Source organism: Homo sapiens, chromosome 2 (genome assembly GCF_000001405.40).
Source record: "Homo sapiens chromosome 2, GRCh38.p14 Primary Assembly".
NCBI lineage: Eukaryota > Metazoa > Chordata > Mammalia > Primates > Hominidae > Homo > Homo sapiens.
The window spans coordinates 96836503-96859334 of record NC_000002.12 but is presented as its reverse complement, the minus strand read 5'-3'; the positions used below and the strand labels follow the sequence as shown (position 1 = coordinate 96859334).

The following is a 22832-nucleotide window of genomic DNA, read 5'->3' as shown; positions in this document are numbered from 1 at the left end:
CCTGCTTAGGGGAGGAGAAACGACTTCCAGCCTTCTACCCACCAGGAATGCTAGGGTCTTCCGTGCCCCAACTAGCGGGGGAAGGAACTTACATCCAGTGTGCACCAGACCACTGTCCTGGAGAGGGACTGGCACAGAACCCAACCTGCATTCTGTCGTTCATGCACTCTTTCTAAGCCGATCAGGCGGTCTCCCCTGTACACTTGATCGTGGCTTGAGCAGGCAGCTGCCTGGGTTTTAACTGGGAATTGAGAAGGCTGGGGTCCGCTGAGGAGCACGCTGCGAAGGTGCGCGGTCCGCAGACGGCCTCCCGGTGGGTTTTGATCATGAAGACCGATTCCGTAAACTCAGCGCCCACTGTGGGGCCAGGGGGTTCTGCACAAACCAAGGCCCTGCCCCTGCCCTGAGGTGGAGCTACAGGCAGGACAAGTTGTGGCCACCTGCCCCTTGCTGGACTTGTAAGGAAGAGCAGGGTACGGGGAGGGGCGTCTCGAGGCCTTTCCAGCCGTCACTTTGCCGCTGCCCCGGGGGCGGTCGGCCTTGGTCCGGGGTGGTGCCAGGAAGAGGGGCTAAAAACCGTGGAGCGCGCCCCGGCCCGATGGCTCACGCCTGTAATCCCAGCACTTTGGGAGGCCAAGGTGAGCGGATCACGAGGTCAAGAGATCGAGACCATCCTGGCGAAACCCCGTCTCTACTAAAAAATACAAAAAATTAGCCGGGCGTGGTGGCGGGCGCCTGTAGTCCCAGCTACTCAGGAGTCTGACGCAGGAGAATCGCTTGAACCCGGGAGGCGGAGGTTGCAGTGAGCCGAGATCGCGCCACTGCACACAAGTCTGGGTGACAGCGAGACTCCGTCTCAAAAAAAAAAAAAAAAAAAAAAAAGACCGCGGAGCGCGTGGCGCCTCCCTGCCCTAGGGACTAGGGGCGGTAAAGAGAGGAGGCTGCGAGGTCGCTGGACGGCTGGGTCATGGCGAAGGTAACGGGAAAGCTCCCGACCGGACCCAGCTGCCTCATCCCCACACCCTGCAAGGCCAGGCGGCCCGGCGGCCCTCCAGCGGCGCGCGGCTCCCGGAACCCAGCGCCTCAGTCCTCGCTTGGCCTTGGACGCCCTCGCGCGGAGGCCTCGGGGCACGGCCGGGCGCAACAAGCCCCGCCCTACCGTTGCAATTGGTTCTCGAGCTAAGGCCTAGGCGTTTGATTGGTCAGCTTTGGCGAGAAGGCGGGACTAGGGCGACAGCCGCGGACGCCGAGCGGCCAGATCAGGGACGCGGGGCGGGCCCTGCGTCCGCCCCTCCCGCCGAGGCTGAGCCTGAGACCCGGGGCGGATCGACTGACGCCGGGGCCGGGATGGCGACGCCTCGGCCCTGCGCGGACGGGCCCTGCTGCTCGCATCCCAGCGCGGTGCTCGGCGTACAGCAGACGCTGGAGGAGATGGACTTCGAGAGGGGTGAGGCTGCCGCGCGGCCCTCGTGGTTCTCACCAGGCCCCGGCCCAAGGAGGAGGCGTGGGGCCAAGGAGAGGCGGATGAACGGGGCCCCGAGAGCTTGGGGCTTGGGGCTTGGGGCCTGGTGCGGGAAGGCGGGCGGGACCCACGGTTCCCGTGTACTGAGAGCCTCCCAGGGCCCCGCACGAGCTCGGCCAGGAGACACCTGTCCCGCGGGCGGCGGGGAAGCGGAAGCACTGGTTTCCGTAACCCTCCCGAGTAGCGGGGGACGACCTCCCCTGGGAGACACAAGCCTGCTCAGGTGTTTGAGAGAGGGCCCGGGGAGCAGAATCTGCACCAGGGGCATTGCACCCAACCTGAGGGGCATGGAGCTGCAGGCCTGGGGGCTGCGCGGTGAAGGAGAGCAGTGGCCTTTGTTTAGCCCCGGGTGCCAGGCAGCCTGCATGCTTTAAAGATGGCAAGAGCTTCGCACGGGCAGCCTTCGAGGCAGGGCACAGTATCTCATCTGTGGGACCCAGAGAGGTAACACGTTTGGCCCAGATTATACAGAGATTATGGTGCCAATAGGAACAGAGGAAGGCGGGAAACCAGGGTGCTTCTTGTGAGCGTTGGGAACCACTGTGCTGTGTCATCTGCCCTTGCGGATGCAGCCCTCGATTGCCACTGCTGTGTAAGCATTCTCATGGAACTCTTCCTTTACCGTGGTTCTGGCACCTGCCTACTTCCCTCCGCCCCTCCTACCGCTGTCCTCTGCACTGCTGAAGTGGTTGCCTCAGAGGGTCTTTCTGCTTCCACGCTTGCCTTCCTACAGGGTTTTCTACTCTCACATAGCAGCCAGAGCGGCTTTTTGAAAATTAGAAATCACATCATTCCCTGTTATGGCCTACAAAGCTCTGTAGACCCACCCCTGCCGGTTCTACTTCTCCTCCTCATTTTATTTCTCATGCTTTTCTTCCCCCAATCACTACGCCGCAGCCACACTGGTCTTGTTTTGGTGTCTCAAATATGCAAGACCTTTTCCTGAGTTAAGGCCGTTGGACTTGCTGTCCCATCTCCTTAGAATGAACTTCCTACAACCGTTAAGCTAGCTGATGCTTTTCTTCAGATCCCAGCTCCAATGTCATCTCCTCAGAGACCCTCCCTAAACACCCCAGTTCTCAACTGGGGGCAGTTCTGCCCTTTAAGGGACTTTGAATATCTGGAGACATTTTGGGTTGTCACAATCAGGAGGGTGCTACAGGCGTGTAGTAGGTAGAGATGAGAGATGCTGTATACATGGTACAATGCACAGGACAGCTCGCTACAATAATCATCCGGCCCGTAAGTGTCAATTGTGCTGTTAAGAAGTAAACATTGCCTTATCCAAAGTTAGGCCAGTTACTCTGATGTATCCATCATCTTGCTTTTTTTTTTTTTTTTTTTGAGATGGAGTCTCCCTCTTTTGTCCAGGCTGGCGTGCAGTAGCGCAATCTCGGCTCACTGCAGCCTCCGCCTCCTGGGTTCAAGCGATTCTCCTATTCTCCTGAGTAGCTGAGATTACAGGCGTGTGCCACGACGCCCGGCTAGTTTTTGTATTTTTAGTAGAGACCGGGGTTTCACCATATTGGTCAGGCTGATCTCGGAACTCCTGACCTCATGATCTGCCCGCTTTGACCTCCCAAAGTGCTAGGATTACAGGCGTGAGCCACCGCACCCGGCATCTTGCTTTCATAAAAAACAATTTTTACCGCAAACAATTTCCTCATTTTTTTGTGCAAACAAATACATTCTTTAAAACATTAATGGGAAGAGTGTATTTGATAAGCCAGTTTTAGCTACTGTTGTCACAAATAAAAGAAACTGTGAGATTTGTTAATCCGCTTCACTACAGTAACTCTTTGTTGTTGTTGTTGTTGTTTTGTTGTTGTTGTTGTTGTTGAGTCGGAGTCTGGCTCTGTCCCCAGGCTTTAGTGGCGCAATCTCGGCTCACTGCAAGCTCCACCTCCCAGGTTCACGCCATTCTCCTGCCTCAGCCTCCCAAGTAGCTGGGACTACAGGCGCCCGCCACCATGCCCGGCTAATTTTGTTTTGTATTTTTAGTAGAGATGAGGTTTCACCATGTTAGCCAGGATGGTCTTGATCTCCTGACCTCGTGATCCGCACAGTAATATATCTTTTTTTTTTTTTTTGAGACGGAGTCTCGCTCTGTCGCCCAGGCTGGAGTGCAGTGGTGCGATCTTGGCTCACGGCAACCTCTGCCTCCTGGGTTCACGCGATTCTTCTGCCTCAGCCCCCTGAGTAGCTGGGACTACAGGCGCGTGCCACCAAGCCCAGCTAATTTTTGTATTTTTAGTAGAGACGGGGTTTTACTCTGTTAGCCAGGATGGTCTCGATCTCCTGACCTCGTGATCCACCCGCCTCGGCCTCCCAAAGTGCTGGGATTACAGGCGTGAGCCACTGCGCCTGGCCAATATTTTTCTATTTATCATTTTGTACTACATTTTGGGTGAATTCCAAATCACTAATTCTCTTTGACTAGGTCTGCAGTACTCTTTGACCCATCTATTGTTGTTGTTTTGTTTCAATGAGTCTGTTTTTTAATTTATCAACTTTCCTGTTTCAGATCTGGCTGTTTTGTTTTTCCTAATGTTCTGTTGATTTGTGGATTCTATCCCTTTGTCTCTGTGAACACCTTCAATGTTGTTGTTTTAAGGTCTTTTTTGGATTGTGCAATAATGGCTCACTTTGGAGGCATGCGTGTTCCCACTTGTATTTGCTAGTTGTTGTCTGTCGCCATGCCACCCTGAACTCCCCGAACTCCCCTCATCTCACCTATATTTGCTGATTGTCTCTTAGGGCAGCAGATTGCTTCTTGTTTTGCAACTTTCAGTCTTTGTGCTCACCAGGGAGATCCTCTTCTGTGGGAGATTGTCACACTGCCTTGGCAGCCTTCTGGAGGCATCATTATATTTTTTAAAAGTTGTTTCTGGCTGGGCACGGTGGCTCACGCCTGTAATCCCAGCACTTTGGGAGGCCAAGGCAAATGGATCACTTGAGGTCAGGAGTTCAAGGCCAGCCTGACCAACATGGTGAAACCCTGTCTCTACTAAAAATAGAAAAATTTGCTGGGCATGGTGGTGGGCGCCTGTAATCCCAGCCCGACCTGAATTTCACTCTAGATCCAAACATTTTAAACATTACTTCATCCAGCACTTCTGTGTTTGAAGTGGGATGGAGATGTCTGTGTCCGCCCAGTCCTACTGTCCTGATGAGATGTGCCCATCTGTCTTGTTCACAGCTAAGTCACCAGCATTCAGAACAAACCTTGACACAGAGGAGGTGCTCGGTTGATATTTGTTGAAGGAATGAATATTCTTCACTTTATAGACAAGAAAACTGAGGTCAAGAGGCAAAGCAAGCACTGAAACTCCCATTCAGCATCATTCAGTCCTTTGGTTGCCTTTCTGCAGGAATCTGGTCGGCAGCCCTGAATGGAGACCTGGGCCGAGTGAAGCATTTAATCCAGAAGGCCGAGGACCCAAGTCAGCCCGACTCGGCCGGCTACACTGCGCTGGTGAGCTAGGGAGGAGCACAGGGTCAGGAGACAGAAGCGTTAACTCAGGAGACACCTGCTCTCTGAGGAGGGGGACTGATGGTTACCTTTTACCTCCTCCCTCCCTTTCTTCTCTTCCAGCAAAATTTCTCTTTTTAAGCATCATATGAACCTGGATTTTTTAAATTAGTGTGAGACCTTTACATCAATAATTTAGGTTTTGTTTTGTTTTGAGATGAAGTCTTGCTCTGTTACCCAGGCTGGAGTGCAGTGATGCGATCTCAGCTCACTGCAACCTCCGCCTCCCAGGTTCAAGCGATTCTCCTGCCTCAGCCTCCTGAGTAGCTGAGACTACAGGCATGTGCCACCACACCCAGCTAATTTTTGTATTTTTAGTAGAGATGGGTTTTCACCATGTTGACCAGGCTGGTCTCGAACTCCTGACTTCAGGTGATCCGCCTGCCTCGGCCTCCCAAAGTGCTGGGATTACAGGCATGAGCCACTGCGCCCAGCCAATGATTTAGTTTTATTTTCGTAACAATTCTTTGAGATAGGAATGATCATTTTCCCCATTTTTCAATTGAACAAACTCAGGTTAGTCACGCAGAAGCTTGCCCAGGTCACACGACTGCTGGGGTTGGCACCTGAGATGATTCCAGGCCCCTCGCTGCAGGGAGGCCATGCTCTCACCTCTATACCACCCTTGTCACCTGCCTGGCTTCTCCCATCTGACCTCGGTCTCTGTTCCCTGCAGCACTATGCCAGCCGCAATGGGCACTACGCTGTGTGCCAGTTCCTGCTGGAAAGCGGAGCTAAGTGTGATGCCCAGACCCACGGGGGTGCCACTGCTCTGCACCGAGCCAGCTACTGCGGGCACACTGAAATCGCGCGGCTCCTGCTATCACATGGGTCCAACCCCAGGGTGGTGGATGACGACGGCATGACCAGTCTGCATAAGGTGGGCCCGTTCCCCCTTCCAAAAATGTCGTTTCCTTATTTTTAAAGTTATAACATGTTCATGTAGAAAACATGGGGAAAACAGGAAATCAGAGAGAAGACAGTTAAAATCATTTGTAATTCCCTTGCTCACCTGTCATCACTTTAGGACTAATGGGTAATTCTCCAGCCTTTTTTCTGAGCGTGTAAATTAAAATGTACAGTGGCACTTTAGTTTTCTTTCCCTTAGAGACATGTCATGAAGCCTTTTCCATATAGTTTTCTGAAACTTATACATACTCTTGCCTGTTCCTGTAGTCCACTTGCTATATGTTAGCCGGAGTGATCATTTAATTAAACTCTTTCTAGCTGGAAATACCTGCACATGGTAAACAATCTGAAGAGTCTACAAGGGCATGCCATGAAAGCGAGTTTCCCTCCCACCCAGCTCCTCATCCCTCAGCCTTCTAGGCCCGTCCTTTGAGGTGTTCACTTTACCGATTGCTTTTCCTTTTTTGTGGGGAATGGGGTCTCACTGTGTTGCCCAGGCTGGTCTCAAACTCCTGGGCTCAATTGATCCTCCTGCCTCTGCCTCCCTAAGTGCTGAGATTACGGGTGTGAGCTACCCTGCTCGGCCACTTTACTGAGTTTGCAGGCACCTTTGAGAGGCGGTCTATGCATATGTGGCATATGTGTATAAATCATATATGTGTGTAAATCATGTGTAAATCTAGTCCCCTCTTGCCCCTTCTTTGATTTTCTCCTGGAGCGATTGTTTAAAGCAGTTCTGATCATGCCACGCCCCCACTTGGAGTCCTTGAGGCTTGCTTTTTCCAGGTCCATGAGTTATTGTGAAGGTTTCCTGGGGTTTGCTCCTGCCCCCTTCTCCAGGTTTTTTTTTTTTTTTTTTGTCTTTTTTGTCTTTTTTCCCCACCCCTCCAGTTTTCTCCTGAGCTCTTGTCCCCTGGTCTCTTACACTCAGAGGCCCTACTAATAATTTTTCTTTTTTCTTCTCTTTTTTTTTTTTTTTTTTTTTGAGACAGGGTCTCACTCTGTCACCCAGGTTGGAGTACAGTGGCATGATTATAACTCACTGCAGCCCCGACTTCCTGGGCTTGAGTGATCTTCCCACCTCAGCCTCCTGAGTAGCTGGGACTATACATGCCTGCACCACCATGACCAGCTAATTTATTTTATTTTATTTTATTTTTGAGACAGGGTCTCACTTTTTCACCCAGGCTAGAGTACACTTGCACAATCACAGCTCACTTGTAGCCTCGACCTCCTGGGCTCAAGCAATGCTCCTACCTCAGCCTCCCAAGTAGCTGGGACTACAGGTGCATGCCACCATGCCTGGCTAATTTTTCTAAAAACAGCTTCACCACATTGCCCAGGCTTTTAAAATTATTAGTAGTAGTAGTAGAGACAGGGTCTCTCACTATCGTCTCGACACCTGGGCCCAAGCAATCCTCCCAAAGTGCTGGGATTACAGGCATGAGCTACCACATCCAGCCATTTTAATTTTCTTGAACCTACTACTCTGTCCCCCCAGAGCCATATTTAACAAGTTAGCCCCTGTCTGGGTGCCTCTCCCCTCCCGTTTTTTATGTGGCTTGTTTCTACCCTTTCTTCTGGATCTCAGCTTACACATCACACCCCACGAGAGCCTTTCCTGATCCCTAGACATGGTGAGCTCACCTGGATGTATGCCTAGCTGTATGCCATGGACTCAACTTTTCCTAATTCCTGTACCCCTGGAAATTCCCTGTTTGGGGTCTGCGTATCTCAGTAGAGACAGCTGGGGCTTTGTCCTGTTCAAATTGTTGCAGCCTGGCTGGGCACAAAGGCTCACACCTGTAATCCCAGCCCTTTGGGAGGCCAAGGCAGGCTAATTGCTTGAGTCCAGGAGTTCGAGACCAGGCTGGGCAACATGGCAAAACCCATCTCTACTAACAATACAAAAATTAGGCCGGGTGTGGTGGCTCATGCCTGTAACCCCAGCACTTTGGGAGGCTGAGGCGGGCAGATCACGTGAGGTCGGGAGTTCAAGACCAGCCTGACCAACATGGAGAAACCCCGTCTCTACTAAAAATACAAAATTAGGCGGGCGTGGTAGCACGTACCTGTAATCACAGCTACTCAGGAGGCTGAGGCAGGAGAATCACTTGAACCTGGGAGGTAGAGGTTGCTGTGAGCCGAGACCGCGCCATTGCACTCCAGCCTGGGCAACAAGAGCGAAACTCTGTCTCAAAAAAAAAAACAAAAGCCAGGTGTGGTGGCACACACCTGTAATTCCAGCTACTCAGGAGACTGAGGCACGAGAATCGCTTGAATCCAGGAGGTGGAGGCTCCAGTGAACTGAGATCACACCACTGGGCTCCAGCCTGGGTGACACAGATATTCCGTCTCAAAAAAACCCAAAAAAACATTGCAGCCTTAGCACTTAGCATAGGGCATAGGTGCCCAGTGAATACGTGCTGAGTGAACAGCTAAATGTTGGGTTTTTAAAGAAATCATTGCCAATTGGATAGACAGATTGTTTATTTTTAATGGTGTTGCTCAGACGTTTTACTGCTACAACTCACATGACAGATATAAACAGCCAGGATGCTGTTGTGGGTATACCTGGCTGGTGTTACCCATAGTTAGGTGCATCTCCATCCCTTTTTCTCTCATGCAGATAATGCAAATGTGAGATATGTGAATTTTTCTTTATTGTGTATGTTTTTGTTTTTTTTTTTGTTTTGTTTTGTTTTTTTAGATAGAGTCTCGCTCTGTTGCCCAGGCTGGAGTGCAGTGGCACAATCTCAGCTCACTGCAACCTCTGCCTCCTGGGTTCAGACGATTCTCCTGCCTCAGCCTCCCAAGTAGCTGGGATTACAGGCACGCACCACCACGCCTGGCTAATTTTTTGTATTTTTAGTAGAGACAGTTTCACCATGTTGGCTAGGCTGGTCTCGAACTCCTGACCTCAGGTGATCCCCCCTCCCTCGGCCTCCCAAAGTTCTGGGATTACAGGCGTGAGCCACCGCACCTGGCCTGCGTATGTGTCTTTTAAAACTATTTGCAAACACTGGTATTTTATTTTTTGTAAAAATTATTTGGGATGCATCTCACAACTGCTGACAACATCCCACTGCCTGAATTAAGGCAGTGGAATTGAGAGCTTTGTGTCTGTACTCATTAGGAGGACCAGCTGAGTAAAGATTTGGATTCCAATTTGGGATAGTGGTTGCCACTAGTGTTAATTTTGATACCTCTCAAAAGCCCTATAGTCTATCAATTTGTCTGTTGGGAGGAGTAGGAAATAATAGTGGTTCACAGAGTTAATAAGAGTTCAGGCAAACCTGGTTTAGAATCCCAGGTGGACACGTTAGCCCTGTGACTTTGGGCAAGGCATTTATTAAGCCTGCATTTCTTCATCTGTAAAATGGGAATAATGATGATTCTTGCCTGTGAGGGCTATTTTGAAAGTTAAATAAGATAGTCTATGTAAATCACTTAACTCTATTATTTTTGGGGGGAGGTAGGTTAGAAATTGACATCTGGATTGGGGTCTCCTACCTTAAAAGAGAAGAAGAGAACACAGGGAACTAGGCCCCAGTCTTTCCCTGCCAATCTAAAAGTTTCCTGGCCAGGCACTTTGGCTCATGCCTATAATCCCAGCACTTTGGGAGGCCAAGGTGGGAGGATAGCTTGAGTTCAGGAGCTCGAGACCAGCCTGGGCAACATGGCAAGACCCTGTCTCTTATTTTTTTTTATTTTTATTTTTTGAGATGGAGTCTCGCTCTGTCCCCCAGGCTGGAGTGCAGTGGCGCGATCTCGGCTCACTGCAACCTCTGCCTCCCAGGTTCAAGCGATTCTCGTGCCTCAGCCTCCCGAGTAGCGGGGATTACAAGCACATGCCACCACGCCTGGCTAATTTTTGTATTTTTAGTAGAGATGAGGTTTCACCATGTTGGCCAGGCTGGTCTCGAACTCCTGACCCCAAGTGATCTGCCCACCTCAGTCTCCCAAAGTGCTGGGATTACAGGCATAAGCCACTGCACCCAGCCCTGTCTCTATTTTTAAAAATTCAAAATAAATTATTTTTTAAAAAAAGGTTAGCCACGTGTAGTGGTGCACGCCTGCAATCTCAGCTACTTGGGAGGCTGAGGCAGGAGGATCGCTTGAGCCCAGGAATTGCAGACTGCAGTGAGCTATAATTGCACTACTGAACTCCAGCCTGGGCAACAGAGTGAGACCCTGTCTCTAAAATGCAATGATAAAAATTTAAAAATATAAGAAAATAAATAAATAAAATTCCCAATGGGTAGGGGCCGTGTCTGGTGCCTCCTGTGCCCACAGTGCACAGCACCCTCTAGGTGATGTGTGCAGGTTTGTGAGAGATGCCTGGAGATACAAGGTGCTGTACTTGTTTTTAATGTGTAGGTCTGGCCAAAGACAGTTGGCAAAGGACACAAGAAAGAAAAACTCAAGCTAACTGCGAGAATGGCACTGGGATACTCCACAAATCAGAATAAAGTCACTGGGATTTGGTAGGAATTAGAAGAAATCTACTCAAACAGCTGTGTCTATTTCCATGAGGCCTCTTTTTTTTTTGAGTTGGAGTCTCGCTCTGTCGCCCAGGCTGGAGTGTAATGGCATGATCTCAGCTCACTGCAACCTCCGCCTCCCGGGTTCAAGCGATATTCCTGTCTCAGCCTCCTGAGTAGCTGGGATTACAGGCACGTGCCACCACACTTGGCTAATTTTTGTATTTTTAGTAGAGATGGGGTTTCACCATGTCAGGCTGGTCTTGAACTCTTGACCTTGTGATCCGCCTGCCTTGGCCTCCCAAAGTGCTGAGATTACAGGCGTGAGCCACTGCGCCCAGAGAGGCCTCTTTTTTAGAAGGAAGAACCACTGAAAGTGGAACAAGAGAGAGCAGAGCCCAGTGGGGGGGTATGCCCTTTGATTCCAGCCTTTCTCTCCACAGGCTGCTGAGAGGGGTCACGGGGACATCTGCTCCCTCCTCCTGCAACACAGCCCAGCCCTGAAGGCCATCCGGGACCGAAAGGCACGGCTAGCATGTGACCTGCTGCCTTGCAACAGTGACCTGCGGGACCTGCTATCCAGCTGAGCCGCCACCCTATCTCCAGCTGCCTTTAAAGGGTACACAGACCAGTTCTCCAAGCCCCTGCCTTGGTCAGCATCCATGCTGCTGGGCAGGGAACTGAGGCCAGACCACCCAGGAAGAGCCCCAGTCTGGTCACTGTGGAAGCGAGGGAGTAGATTTGGTGTGGCTAAAAGTGTTTAAGACTGGACAGATGATCATATTCTAAATTAGTTCATATGAGACATCTATTTATTTGGAAAAAAATAAAGTTATATCCTTACCTCATCCCACACCCAAAGATAAATTGCAAGATTAAAGATCTAAATATAAAAACACAAAACTATGTAAGTATTAGAAGAAAGTAGGGACTATGTGAGAAGCTGCTTTCTAGCTGAATGCCCTTGGTAAAAGTCACTTTAGCTGTCTGCCCCTCCATTTCCTCTTCTGTAATGAGAGTGGTTATCATAGGGCCCGCCTCAGAGTCATTGTGGGAGGAGGTCAGTGTGCACTGGGAGAGCCCTCGAGAGAGTGCCTGGCACGTGGCAAGCAGCCTGAGGGAGGCCCGCTTCCCGAGCTCCTCATCAGCACTTTGCGCATACCATGATTTCATTGATTGCAACGGTCCGATGGGAGAAAAGTGCTGTTTCATCTGTTTCGTTTTTCATTGCTGGTTACTAGTGAGGTTGAGCACCTGTGTCTTCTGTGAGCTGCCTACCCATGCCGATTTTAGAAACACTTCTTATTGATTCATAGGAGTGTTGATATTCTAGATCCTGATCCTTTGTTCTATATATGTACATTTAATTTTTTCCCTTTTTTTCTTTTATGCTCTTTCTTTTATTCTTTCTTTTTTTTTTTTTTTTTTTTGAGACGCAGTCTCGCTCTGTCACCCAGGCTGGAGTGCAATGACGTGATCTCGGCTCACTGCAAGCTCCGCCTCCCAGGTTCACGCCATTCTCCTGCCTCAGCCTCCCGAGTAGCTGGGACTACAGGCACCCACCACCAGGCCCGGCTAATTTTTTGTATTTTTAGTAGAGACGGTGTTTCTCCGTGTTAGCCAGGATGGTCTCAATCTCCTGACCTCGTGATCCACCCGCCTCGGCCTCCCAAAGTGCTGTCTTTGTTTCTTGATATCCATTCATGGGAATTGGTACAGCTACTGTAGATGGCAGTTTGACAGTATCTATTTAAATTTAAATGAGCAGAACCAATAATTTGATTTCTCTGTAGCTATGTAGAGAGATGTTCTTCCATGGTTACAAAGATGTTTATTTACAGGAGCATTTACAAATATGTGCATTGGAGCATGGGGAGTAATGTTAAAAAAAAAGAGAGAACCGACTCCTCCCTGATAGGGAGTGGTTGAGTTCTGCAGATCCAAGTTCTCGGCTGCACAGCAGAGCGCAGCGTGCTGACAGGATATTGCTGCTCGTGTCCACAGTGGGACCCCCTTCACACAGAACATGCCTGTAGAATGTGATTGCCTCTCAGCCTTTTGGCTAAGATCATGTATAAATGTATGGATCTATACGTGGATGTAGGCCAGGAGCAGTGGCTCACGCCTGTAAGCCCAGCACTTTGGGAGGCCGAGGTGGGAGGATCACCTAAGGTCAGGAGTTCGAGACCATCCTGGCTAACACAGTAAAACCCTGTCTCTACTAAAAATACAAAAATTAGCCGTATGTGGTGGCAGGTGCCTCTAATCCCAGCTACTCTGGAGGCTGAGGCAGGGGAATCGCTTGAACCCGGGAGGTGGAGGTTGCAGTGAGCCGAGATCGCGCCATTGCATTCCAGCCTGGGCAACAGAGTGAGACCCTGTCTCAAAAGAAAAGAAAAACGTGGATGTGCATCCACAAAATGCACAGAGCAGAAGCAGGAGGGTGGCTGTTAAACTGCCAGCCATGGTTTCTCCTGGGCCACGTGGCAAGAGAGGTAGTCAAGGAGGTCCTGAGCCTTCTGTTTATGTTTGAACTTTTAATAAGGAATCTTTTTTCCTTTCTTGCTCAACACACTGTTTCTGGCTTGATTTTTTTTTTTAAGTCAGAGTTAATACCAGTCATATGAGACAACTAATGGGTTTTCTATTGAGAACTTCCCTGAAGCCTGGGGGTGCAAAACGCCGCTCCTCCAGTGCCACGTGCTGAGGGGTGTTTGTGAGTTGGAGTGGACAGTGGTGGCCAGTCTTACTTTTTCTTGTTTCTTTGCACTCATTTTATTTTTTTTTTTTTTGAGACCGAGTCCCGCTCTGTCATCGGGCTGGAGTGCAGTGGTGCGATTTTGGCTCACCACAACCTCTACCTCCAGGGATCAAGTGATTCTTGTGCCTCAGCCTCCCAAGTAGCTGGGACTACAGGTGCCTGGCTAATTTTTATATTTTTAGTAGAGACGGGGTTTCACCATGTTGGCCAGGCTGGTCTCGAACTCTTGACCTCAGGTGATCTGCCCACCTCAGCCTCCCAAAGTACTGGGATTACAGGTGTGAGCCACCACGCCCGGCCCCTTTGCCCTCATTTTAGATGACTCTTTCCCTCCTCATAACCAAAAGCAAGGAACAGGCTGGGTGTCACCTGAGGTCAGGAGTTTGAGACCAGCTTGACCAACATGGAGAAGCCCCATCTCTACTAAAAATACAAAATTAGCCAGGGTGATGGCACGTGCCTGTAACCCCAGCTACTCGGGAGGCTGAGGCAGGAGAATCACTTGAACCGGGGAGGTGGAGGTTGCGGTGAGCCAAGATCGCGCCATTGCACTCCAGCCTGGGCACCAAGAGTGAAACTCCATCTCAAAAAGAAAAAAAAAAAAAAAAGCAAGGAACACCTTTGTCTGAAAAAAGCACCCTAAATTTAGCCTAAGAACTAAGTTTTCAGCTGGGCGCGATAGCACAAGCCTGTAATCCCAGCACTCTGGGAGGCTGAGGCGGGTGAATCACAAGGTCAGGAGTTCAGGACCAGCCTGGCCAACATGGTGAAACACCGTCTCTACTAAAAATATAAAAAATTAGCTGGGCATAGTGGCAGGTGCCTGTAATCCCAGCTACTCGGGAGGCTGAGGCAGGAGAATTGCTTGAACCCGGGAGGTGGAGGTTGCAGTGAGCTGAGATCGCGCCACTGCACTCTAGCCCAGGCCACAGAGCGAGATTCCGTCTCAAAAAATTAAAAAAAAAAAGAAAACTTTTTTTTTTTTTTTTTTTTAGACGGAGTCTCACTGTTGCCGGGCCAAGAACTGAGTTTTCTAAGAAAGCTCTGCCTTTTCCTGAGTTCTCTGAAAATGTGGAAGCCCTTCCAAGAGGCCAGTTCTTTGGGAGCTGGGGAGCCATCTGGGGCCTGTGGCCATCCTTGGCCACAGTTCTCCCTCCTTGTACCCTGGTCATGTCTTCTCAGGTTGCTCCGATTTTGGGGTCTTATTTACTGGCTGATTTCCTTGCAAAGGCCAAGGCGGAGTTCAAGGTTCAGCTGGGTGAAGGGCATGCCTGGCTTCCTGAGAATTAGGAAGGGTGACTGATGGCTTGAGACACATTGCTCTGCGGCTGGATTTCATGGTTACTATTCCATCCCGGGACCTGACGCGGATCAGTCTCCCCTTTCCTGTGGCTGGAGGGGCACACTCCGTCCCTGGAGAGCGTCTGGTAGGGGCTTGTAGAGGGGCGGGGAGGACTTCCAGAGGCCCGAGGACAGGCGCCAGGCTTGGCTTCGGGGCTGGGGCAGCTGCCATGTGCTCTCAGAGCACTGAGGGAGGAGCGGGGGAGCCCGGGGGCGAGAAACCCACAGCACAGGGAAGGGAAGGGCAGCCTTGAAACTGCAAGTTGGGAGATCACGGTTTCCTCACGTGGCCACCATGAGGGCTGAGGCTGTAGGCTGGCCGCTCCTGCCCCTCCCGACCACCCCCTCAGGCTTCCAGCCTCCTTGCTCAGCCACCTAGGCTGGGCTTTCAGGTTCACAGGCAGCCGGCCCTACAACATGGAGGCCCAGGCTGGGCTTTCTTCAGGAGTGGCATCTAAACTTAGGAGAGGGGAACACGTTTCACCCGAATCTGGGCTAGCAGTGTGTTGGTTAAATGGCCCCTGAGTAGGTGTGGGGCATGGCAGAGGTGCAGGAGTGGGTGTCCGAGGATGCAGCCAACTCATCTCCAAACAGCTCCTTTTCTTTTCCCCAGTGGGCTGCATTCCCAGACTGGTATTTTAGTTGGTGTGACAGAGTCCCAGAGTCATCTGGCCCAGGGGCTTGCACCTGCGCCAGTCCTTCCCTGTCCACCCCTGCCCGTCTCCAGGCGCTCCTATAAAGGGCTGAGCAGTTCAGCTCTTCTCACTGGGGGGTGTGAGGAACAGGGGGGACCATGGACTTCATCAGCATTCAGCAGTTGGTAAGGATGTGGGACGGAGGTGGGAGGCACCCTGGGACCGGCTTGATAGGAGGAGGCTGGCTAGAGAGGGCTGGCAGCTTCTTTCTGTGGTGTGAGGGTCAAGTCTTAGGTGCAGGGAAGCATGCAGTTCTTTTATAAAAATCTGTATTTTTTGAAACGGAGTCTTGCTGTGTTGCCCAGCCTGGCCTTGAAGTCCCACGCTCAAGTGATCCTCCCACCTGGGCCTCCCAAGTAGCTGGGACTCCAGGCGTGTACCCCCACACCCGGCTGAGCGTGCGGTTCTTTCTGGTGTGTCTGCTCGGTTCTCATGTGAGGTGGTGAGGGGGTTAGGGAGCAAGAGAGGGAAGTCGAATGGGAAAGAAGACATGAAAATCCTTGAGTTCAGTGAGTTTTGCCCTGGATAGTGATGGTGAAAGAGGAACAGGAAATGGCAGGTTACTTTGGAAGATGCAAGTGTGGCTGTGGTGGTTGTAGTTCAGCTTAAGCACCATGATAGTTGTTGCTCTGGAAATGGCCAGAGGTCCTGGCTGCCTTGGGGATAGGGAAGGGTGCTCTTTCGCTCCCTGGGCAGTGAGGGAAACAGTGACTCTTAGGGATGTCGGTTTGAGTGACGAGGGGCCTGGAGGGTGTGAGGCCCAGCAAGCCCATCTGTGGGCTGCTGGCCCCAGCCTGGTGCAGCCTCTGGCGGGAGGCAAATGGCAGGGAGGTGTTAGGTTGCTAGAGTTCTTTAGAAGGAATATGGTTCTACCTGACTAGAAAGTCCTAGGATCTGTTACCCTATCATTCCACCCTGTTCTTTCCCCACAACAGGCTGATTCCTCAGTGCTCCCCAGCTCCTGAACTCCTGAGGTGGGGCCCGGTGGGAGGAAGCATGGGTGTTTGCTACGGAGGCTTTGCCCCAGGCACAGGTCCCAATAACTCATAACCTTCACAACTCCTTTAGGCAATTGCCTTAAGTGTTTGAGCTTAAATGTAGCTTCAAAAGGAGCCGAGAACTGAACCCAGGCATTTAGAATTTTACCCCGGGGGGACTTCTCTGTCCCTCTGAGCTTGGAGTCAGGTGGCAGTCAGTATGATCTGGTAGGAATCTTAACAACATGGGGGAAGCTAAGGTGTCATCTGCCCTGAGGCTACCTGGGCAAATGCCCAGCAGTATAAATAGGTTGTGGCCTCATGTCCCCCCAGCTGTGTTCCTGCTGACAGGAGCAGGGTAGGCGGGGATCCGTTGTCCCCCTGGGTGTCAGCTGATGACACAGTTGCGGAGCCTGCAGCACCCACAGGGTGAGGGAGCTTGCCAGCACTCTGGACTGCAGGAGCTTTGAGGCCGGCTCCCATCCCGGGCACCAGCCTTGTGACATCTGCCCTTATAAGACAGCTCCCTGCTACTCCACAGCTCTGTTTTCTAAGGGTTCCTCCAATTTTCCCAACTCAGTACTCATATCCTGTTCCTACAGGTAAGTGGAGAAAGAGTTGAAGGGAAAGTGTTGGGATTTGGACATGGAGTTCCTGACCCTGGAGCCTGGCCTAGTGACTGGAGGAGGGGCCCCCAAGAGGCTGTGGCCCGGGAGAAGCTGAAATTGGAAGAAGAGAAGAAGAAGAAAGTGAGAGAGGGGCGGGGGCCGGGGTTGGGGGCAGTGGCTAATCCCTGAGGCCGGCTGAGCAGTGAGGCCTGGAGGGACTCTGGTGGGGCAGCCTGAGCAGCTGGTGTCTCCTGTCGGCAGGGCAGAGAGATCTCTTGACCAGCGGCTGATGGCTGGCATGGTCTTGTCTTCTGCCCCAGCTTGAAAGATTTAACAGTACCAGATTTAATCTGGATAACCTGGCTGACTTGGAAAACTTGGTTCAAAGACGGAAAAAGCGACTGAGACACAGAGTCCCCCCCAGGAAACCTGAGCCCCTGGTTAAGGTGAGTGGGAGGTCGGGGTTAGGGCAGTGCACACACCAGGGCTCCAGTTCCAGAGGAAGGGCTTGGGGCAGAGTGGGCACTGCAGGCCAGGACCACACAGCCAGTGCCTGGGGAGCCCATTAAATCCACTCCAGAGCCCCCGCGGATGTGTCCGCCAGGGCTGCCATAACAAAGTCCCACAGCCTGGACAGCCTCAACAGCAGGCATGTGTCACCTCGCTGTCCTGGGGGCTGGAAGGCTAACAGGAAGGTGTTGGCGAGGCTGGTTCCCTCTGAGGGTGGTGAGGGAGAATCCCTTCATGCCTCTCCGGCTTCTGGTGGATGCTGGTGATCTTTGGCGTTCCTTGGCTTGTAGATGTATCACCCAACTATTGCCTTCATGTTTGCTGGGCGTTCTGCCTGTGTGCATGCCTGTGTCCATGTGTCTCCCCCAACTTTTTTTTTTTTTTTTTTTTTTTTTTTGAGACGGAGTCTCGCTCTGTTGCCCAGGCTGGAGAGCAGTGGCACGATCTCGGATTACTGCAAGCTCTGCCTCCCGGGTTCATGCCATTCTCCTGCCTCAGCCTCCCGAGTAGCTGGGACCACAGGCACCCGCCACCACGCCCGGCTAATTTTTTTTTGTATTTTTAGTAGAGATGGGGTTTCACCGTGTTAGCCAGGATGGTCTCAATCTCCTGTCCTTGTGGTCTGCCCGCCTCAGCCTCCCAAAGTGCTGGGATTACAGGCATGAGCCACCGCATCCGGCCCACGTGTCCCCTTTCATAAGGACATCAGTCACATTGGATTAGAGCCCACTTTAACACAAGTCATATTGGTGAGGGGCCCACCATACGCCGGTGTGACCTCATCTTAACTAATTACATCCTCAGTGACTCTGTTTCCAAATAAGGTCACATTCTGAGGTACCTGGGGTTAGTACTTCATACGAATCTTGGGGAGATACAAGTCAATCCATAACACACACGCTCACACACACACAGTCTATTCAATCTCCTGGCGTGGGATTAGAATAAGAAACTGCATTAGTACGAGCCAGCAGTGTTCCTTGGTGGGCTGCATGGGACCCGTGGGCCAGACTGGTGAAGCTGTGACATCTTGGGCACCTGCGGCCTTCGGGAGTGATTTGGTCTTGTCTTCAACTGAACCAGCCGCAGTCCCAGGCCCAGGTGGAGCCTGTGGGCCTGGAGATGTTCCTGAAGGCAGCTGCTGAGAACCAGGAGTACCTGATTGACAAGTACTTGACAGACGGAGGGGACCCCAATGCCCATGACAAGGTAGCACAGGTTGGGTGAGTCGGCTGGCAGCAGCTGCAGCTGCAGGAGCGCTGCCTTCAGTGTGTTCAAGTCCTGGCCTAGGAGGCTGCAGGGATTTTCACTCTTATGGGCATGAATCCAGTGGCACCTGCAGACGGAGGAGAGGGAGCGGCCCATCGCGTGGTGGGGGAAGTGGCAATTCCATTCAGGGACCTGGCCCTGGGAAGGGGACCGCGTGGGGTCTCTAGGGGTGGCTGCACTCCCTCTGCCTAATCTTCCATCTCTGCCCTCAGCTCCACCGCACCGCCTTGCACTGGGCCTGTCTGAAGGGTCACAGCCAGCTGGTGAACAAGCTGCTGGTGGCAGGTGCCACAGTGGACGCGCGAGACTTGGTGAGGATGGGGAAAGGCCCAGCCTCTGGTCGACGCCCAGCTTCACATCCCAGCAGCTGAGTGCTTGGGTGCTTTTGTTTTGCAGCTGGACAGGACACCTGTGTTCTGGGCCTGCCGCGGAGGACATCTGGTCATCCTCAAACAGCTGCTTAACCAGGGAGCCCGGGTCAATGCCCGGGACAAGGTGAGGGGCACGGTGCTTTGGGGGCCTGTCGGGAACACGGGAGCAGACGCTGTTCCTGGAGAAGAGAGCACGTAGTCCCATGGGTTAGGGAGGCCTCACCAATCCAGACCCAGCACTGACCCCCACTTGCTCTCAGATCGGGAGCACCCCCCTGCACGTGGCAGTGCGCACCCGGCACCCCGACTGCCTGGAGCACCTCATCGAGTGTGGCGCCCACCTGAACGCACAGGATAAGGTAAGGCAGGCGCTTGGTCTTTTCCGGCTCGGACAGCTCCAGAGGAGCAGGGACTGAGGAGCCCCAGCCAGGACCAGAGGTGCTGTCTGCTCGGTGACAGCAGCCCTGACCTTCCTGCATGAGGAGGGCAGCACGCGGAGGCAGAAGCTTGACTGCCTGCGTTCTCAGCAGGAAGGGGACACGGCTCTGCACGAGGCCGTGCGGCACGGCAGCTACAAAGCCATGAAGCTACTGCTGCTCTATGGGGCCGAGCTGGGGGTGCGGAACGCGGTGAGTGTGGGCGCAGCCCTGGCTCCTGACCCGAGGGCGGGTGGAGCGCCTGCAAGGGACTGACCCACACCGTTGCTCCCAGGCCTCCGTGACCCCGGTGCAGCTGGCTCGAGACTGGCAGCGCGGCATCCGGGAGGCCCTGCAGGCCCACGTGGCGCATCCCCGCACCCGGTGCTGACCGCAGCACCGCCCCCCGCCGCGCCTTTCGCACTGCCACCATTCCATCCTGTGCCCCGCCCCCGCGTCTGCACCTCTGTGGTTCCTGCCCTCAGCCCTGGTTCCTCCCTCTCTGGCCTGTGCCGCCTCAGCAGCCCTGGCAGAACTGAAGAGCGGCACCGGGCCCAGCAGGCAAAGAGAGAGGCCTCCCTGGCTTCGAGTGTCAGGGGAGCCGCGTTCCCTCCCAGGGCTGGAGCAGAGGACCACAAGGCAGCAGAAAGCGCGGGTCCAGATGAGGGCCAGGAAGGGGAGGAGAGTGAGGGCCAAGAACGAGCCTTAAGGGAGCAGTCCCAAGCTGGAGCCACCCAGGGCTGGGTCTGGGAGTCCTCAGTGTCCACTTGTCCCAGGTTAGGGGGCTTGCCTTGCTCTCTCCAGGGCCAGTCTGTGTGTGTGGGGACTCAGCCCGTGGCCGGCAGATGCCATCCAGGATGTACAAGGTGCAGCCAAGGCAGGCCATGCAGGGGCCGGGCCTGTCTGCAGCTGGTGGATGCCTGTGGGCATGGCTTTCTCTGGGGACCCCATTCCTGTCAGTAGCAACCCTGGCAGTGTCCGGAGCGGCTCTAGACAACTTTGGTCATAGGAACTCTGGAGGTGGGTTCTGGTCATCTGAGGTGGCTACTCAACAGGTTTGAGGCCCCACAGCAACAGAAGTCCAGGACCCACTAGGTTGCCTCAGAAGCCCTAAGACTGATGAGCTGGAGCGCGCATTTGAGAGAAGCCTCGCACCCACTGTGTACTGGCCCCGCTCAGGCCGGCCTGGCACACCGTTGCCTGCTGGCGGCTCTCATGGGGAAGCGCCTGGGCACTGGGGATTGCTTGTGGCCCACTCAACTCTTGGGGCAGTGGCCCGTAACCCTAGTTTGCCTGAGGCCCTTATGTCCCCTTATGTTCCTGGTACTGGAGCTTGAGCTCTTGCCTGGAACGCTGCAGCTGCACCCACCCTGCTTGATCCCACCTGGGAGGCCAGGACACTGAGGAGCTCTGAACCCAGCCCACAGGGAAGCAGAGGAAGGTGAGCCCCCGCCGCCCCCCAGCCCTTCCCATCCCTTCCCTGCTCCCTGGTGGTCTAAGGACCCAAGCTCCCTAGACTTCCTCTTCCACCGTCTGTACGTTTCAAATTACACTGGTGTAGGCCTGTACTGCTGGTGGGGCTGGGCCCCTAAACGCCAGAAAGTGAATCTTAAGAAGCTCTGCCCTAAACTGAGAACCACATGCTGAGGGAAGGGCTGAAAGGTGAAGGCTCAGCCTCCCTCACATGGGTCCTGGGTTACATTAGGTACCGGGCTGATTGATAGGCATTTGGCCATGGTTCCTTTTCGTCTACCTTTGGGGGCCTTCTCAGGCCCAGAACAAGGCTGTTGTTACTATGTGGAAAAGCTGACCAGTGCTGCACACTAGGGGCACACACCTTTCCATGAGCAGCTCCTGCCCTGTGGCGACAGCCAGCGTGCACCCAGACGCTGGTGCCATGGCGAAGCAGGCGTTCAAGACCATGGAGAAGACAACTCCTCATCTAGAAAATGAGGACACCTCAGTGACAAACACACCTTTTTATACCAATCAGTATCCTCTGTTCATTAAAACTGGCTATCCATTACAGCCTAGCCGTCTTTCCTGGGCCGAGAGGAGCCCATGCTTCAGTCACCAGGGACTGTCTGATAGGGCCCACGCCTGTTAGCCATGCCGGCCGACAGCAAGATAGGCCGAGTGCAGAGTGGGCGGGATGCGGGGTCCTGGCACTAGGCTTTTGTGCTTAAGGCACCTCTGCTCACTGACGACAAGGTCAAAGAGCAGTGGTTCTCCACCTCAGCTGCTTATCAGAATCACCAGGAAGGTTTAAAAAGTCCTGATGTCCAGACCCTAAGTCAGAAGCCCTGAGGGGAGGATCCAGGTATTCTCATGCAGAGGCCATGCTTGTCTATGTGGGAAATCCTAGGAATCTACAGAAAGCAGACAACTAGGGAGTCCAGCAAAATCTCGGGTGCAAGATAAACACACAAAAACCTGTTTCTACCTCCTAGAAATGAACATGTAGACACAAAAGTTAAAAATATGTACTGTTTACAATTGCTGAAAAAGGGAAATACTTCGGTTTAAATCTAACAAAATATGCAAGGACTTGTATGCTGAAAATTATAAAACGTGATGAAATCAAAGATTTAAATAGACATGCCATGTTCATGGATTGCTAGACAGAATACAGTAAAGATATCAATTCTCCTCAAATTAACATACAGGTTAAATGCAGTTCCTATCAAAATCCTAGAAGATGTTTTGTAGATGTAGACAAGGTTATTCTAAAATTCATATACAAATTTATAGCAAAAATATTTTGAAAAAGAATAGAGTGAGAGGAGGAATCAGTCCAGCTGATTTCAAGATCTACTATATAGCTATGTGAACCAAGAGTGCAATGCTGGCAGAGGCACAGACACACAGATCGACAGAGCCGAGATCATCACGGGAACAGGACCACACAAATATGCCCAGCTGACTTTAAGGTGCAAAAGTAATTCAATGGAGGAAGGACAGCCTTTCAACAAACGGTGCTGGAGCAGCTGGACCAGCTATAGGATTAAAAAAAAAGAACTTTAGCCTAAGTCTTACACATTATACAAAAATTAACATGGCTCACATGCATACTTAAATTTAAAACTATAAAACTTCTTTTAGGAAAAAACAGATAACCTTTGGGATCTAAGACTAGGTAGAGTTGTTCTTAAATGCAACACTAAAAGCAACAGTCCATAAAGGAAATATCAGTAAAGTGGACTTTATCAAAACTGAAAACTTTTGCTCTGTATAAAACCCTGTTAAGAGGGTGAAAAGATGGCCGGGCACGGTGGCTCACACCTGTAATTGTAGTACTTTGGGAGGTTGAGGCAGGCAGATCACTTGAGCTCATGAGTTTGAGACCAGGTGTGGGCAACATGGTGAAACCCCATCTCTATAAAAAATTAGCTGGGCATAGGCTGGGCATGGTGGCTCATGCCTATAATTCCAGCACT

General features: G+C 52.2%; 3 protein-coding genes across 3 annotated transcripts in view, besides 8 other annotated features; 2 read left to right on the top strand and 1 right to left on the bottom strand.

Moving 5' to 3' along the window:
• Nucleotides 789–1458: a silencer, noted in NCBI's record as "silent region_11782". NCBI's record gives its function as "represses an Ori minimal core promoter by ATAC-STARR-seq in GM12878 lymphoblastoid cells {active_cell/tissue: GM12878}" and the evidence as "EXISTENCE:reporter gene assay evidence [ECO:0000049][PMID:35858748]".
• ANKRD39 (ankyrin repeat domain 39) lies at nucleotides 1319–11345 on the top strand. The gene is made up of 4 exons (NM_016466.6): nucleotides 1319–1447; nucleotides 4894–4997; nucleotides 5731–5934; nucleotides 10891–11345. Exons 1-4 carry the CDS (start codon nucleotides 1348–1350, stop codon nucleotides 11032–11034), a joined length of 552 nt encoding a protein of 183 aa, NP_057550.3. The 5' UTR covers nucleotides 1319–1347; the 3' UTR covers nucleotides 11035–11345.
• Nucleotides 1489–1658: a silencer, noted in NCBI's record as "silent region_11781". NCBI's record gives its function as "represses an Ori minimal core promoter by ATAC-STARR-seq in GM12878 lymphoblastoid cells {active_cell/tissue: GM12878}" and the evidence as "EXISTENCE:reporter gene assay evidence [ECO:0000049][PMID:35858748]".
• Nucleotides 13934–14123: a silencer, noted in NCBI's record as "fragment chr2:97510949-97511138 (GRCh37/hg19 assembly coordinates)". NCBI's record gives its function as "represses an EF-1alpha promoter that drives an FKBP-Casp9 reporter gene in an ReSE screen in K562 erythroleukemia cells {active_cell/tissue: K562}" and the evidence as "EXISTENCE:reporter gene assay evidence [ECO:0000049][PMID:32094911]".
• Nucleotides 15314–21423, top strand: ANKRD23 (ankyrin repeat domain 23). Its single transcript, NM_144994.8, has 9 exons — nucleotides 15314–15369; nucleotides 16824–16970; nucleotides 17150–17275; nucleotides 18423–18548; nucleotides 18821–18919; nucleotides 19005–19103; nucleotides 19240–19338; nucleotides 19510–19608; nucleotides 19691–21423. Exons 1-9 carry the CDS (start codon nucleotides 15343–15345, stop codon nucleotides 19784–19786), a joined length of 918 nt encoding a protein of 305 aa, NP_659431.5. The 5' UTR covers nucleotides 15314–15342; the 3' UTR covers nucleotides 19787–21423.
• Nucleotides 17262–17867: an enhancer, noted in NCBI's record as "H3K4me1 hESC enhancer chr2:97507205-97507810 (GRCh37/hg19 assembly coordinates)". NCBI's record gives its function as "activates a minimal SCP1, AML or CMV promoter by ChIP-STARR-seq in primed H9 embryonic stem cells {active_cell/tissue: H9 hESC(primed)}" and the evidence as "EXISTENCE:reporter gene assay evidence [ECO:0000049][PMID:30033119]".
• Nucleotides 19460–19559: a silencer, noted in NCBI's record as "silent region_11780". NCBI's record gives its function as "represses an Ori minimal core promoter by ATAC-STARR-seq in GM12878 lymphoblastoid cells {active_cell/tissue: GM12878}" and the evidence as "EXISTENCE:reporter gene assay evidence [ECO:0000049][PMID:35858748]".
• Nucleotides 19700–19759: a silencer, noted in NCBI's record as "silent region_11779". NCBI's record gives its function as "represses an Ori minimal core promoter by ATAC-STARR-seq in GM12878 lymphoblastoid cells {active_cell/tissue: GM12878}" and the evidence as "EXISTENCE:reporter gene assay evidence [ECO:0000049][PMID:35858748]".
• Nucleotides 20899–21453: an enhancer, noted in NCBI's record as "H3K4me1 hESC enhancer chr2:97503619-97504173 (GRCh37/hg19 assembly coordinates)". NCBI's record gives its function as "activates a minimal SCP1, AML or CMV promoter by ChIP-STARR-seq in primed H9 embryonic stem cells {active_cell/tissue: H9 hESC(primed)}" and the evidence as "EXISTENCE:reporter gene assay evidence [ECO:0000049][PMID:30033119]".
• Nucleotides 21454–22010: an enhancer, noted in NCBI's record as "H3K4me1 hESC enhancer chr2:97503062-97503618 (GRCh37/hg19 assembly coordinates)". NCBI's record gives its function as "activates a minimal SCP1, AML or CMV promoter by ChIP-STARR-seq in primed H9 embryonic stem cells {active_cell/tissue: H9 hESC(primed)}" and the evidence as "EXISTENCE:reporter gene assay evidence [ECO:0000049][PMID:30033119]".
• Nucleotides 21869–22832, bottom strand: part of CNNM3 (cyclin and CBS domain divalent metal cation transport mediator 3) — a 21199-nt gene continuing 20235 nt past the window's right edge. The window contains exon 8 of the mRNA XM_011510957.4: nucleotides 21869–22391. Coding sequence (XP_011509259.1) covers nucleotides 22339–22391 — 53 coding nt within the window. The 3' untranslated portion in view covers nucleotides 21869–22338. The remainder of the gene's footprint in view (nucleotides 22392–22832) is intronic.

Bases quoted from the DNA above. Each gene is read 5' to 3' on its own strand.
- ANKRD39 (NM_016466.6), top strand. From the start codon at position 1,348: ATGGCGACGCCTCGGCCCTGCGCGGACGGGCCCTGCTGCTCGCATCCC. The intron at 4,998-5,730 runs GTGAGCTAGGGA...TGTTCCCTGCAG, and splicing joins CGGCCGGCTACACTGCGCTG to CACTATGCCAGCCGCAATGG. The intron at 5,935-10,890 runs GTGGGCCCGTTC...TTCTCTCCACAG, and splicing joins GCATGACCAGTCTGCATAAG to GCTGCTGAGAGGGGTCACGG.
- ANKRD23 (NM_144994.8), top strand. From the start codon at position 15,343: ATGGACTTCATCAGCATTCAGCAGTTG. The intron at 15,370-16,823 runs GTAAGGATGTGG...CTGTTCCTACAG, and splicing joins TCATCAGCATTCAGCAGTTG to GTAAGTGGAGAAAGAGTTGA. The intron at 17,276-18,422 runs GTGAGTGGGAGG...CAACTGAACCAG, and splicing joins AACCTGAGCCCCTGGTTAAG to CCGCAGTCCCAGGCCCAGGT.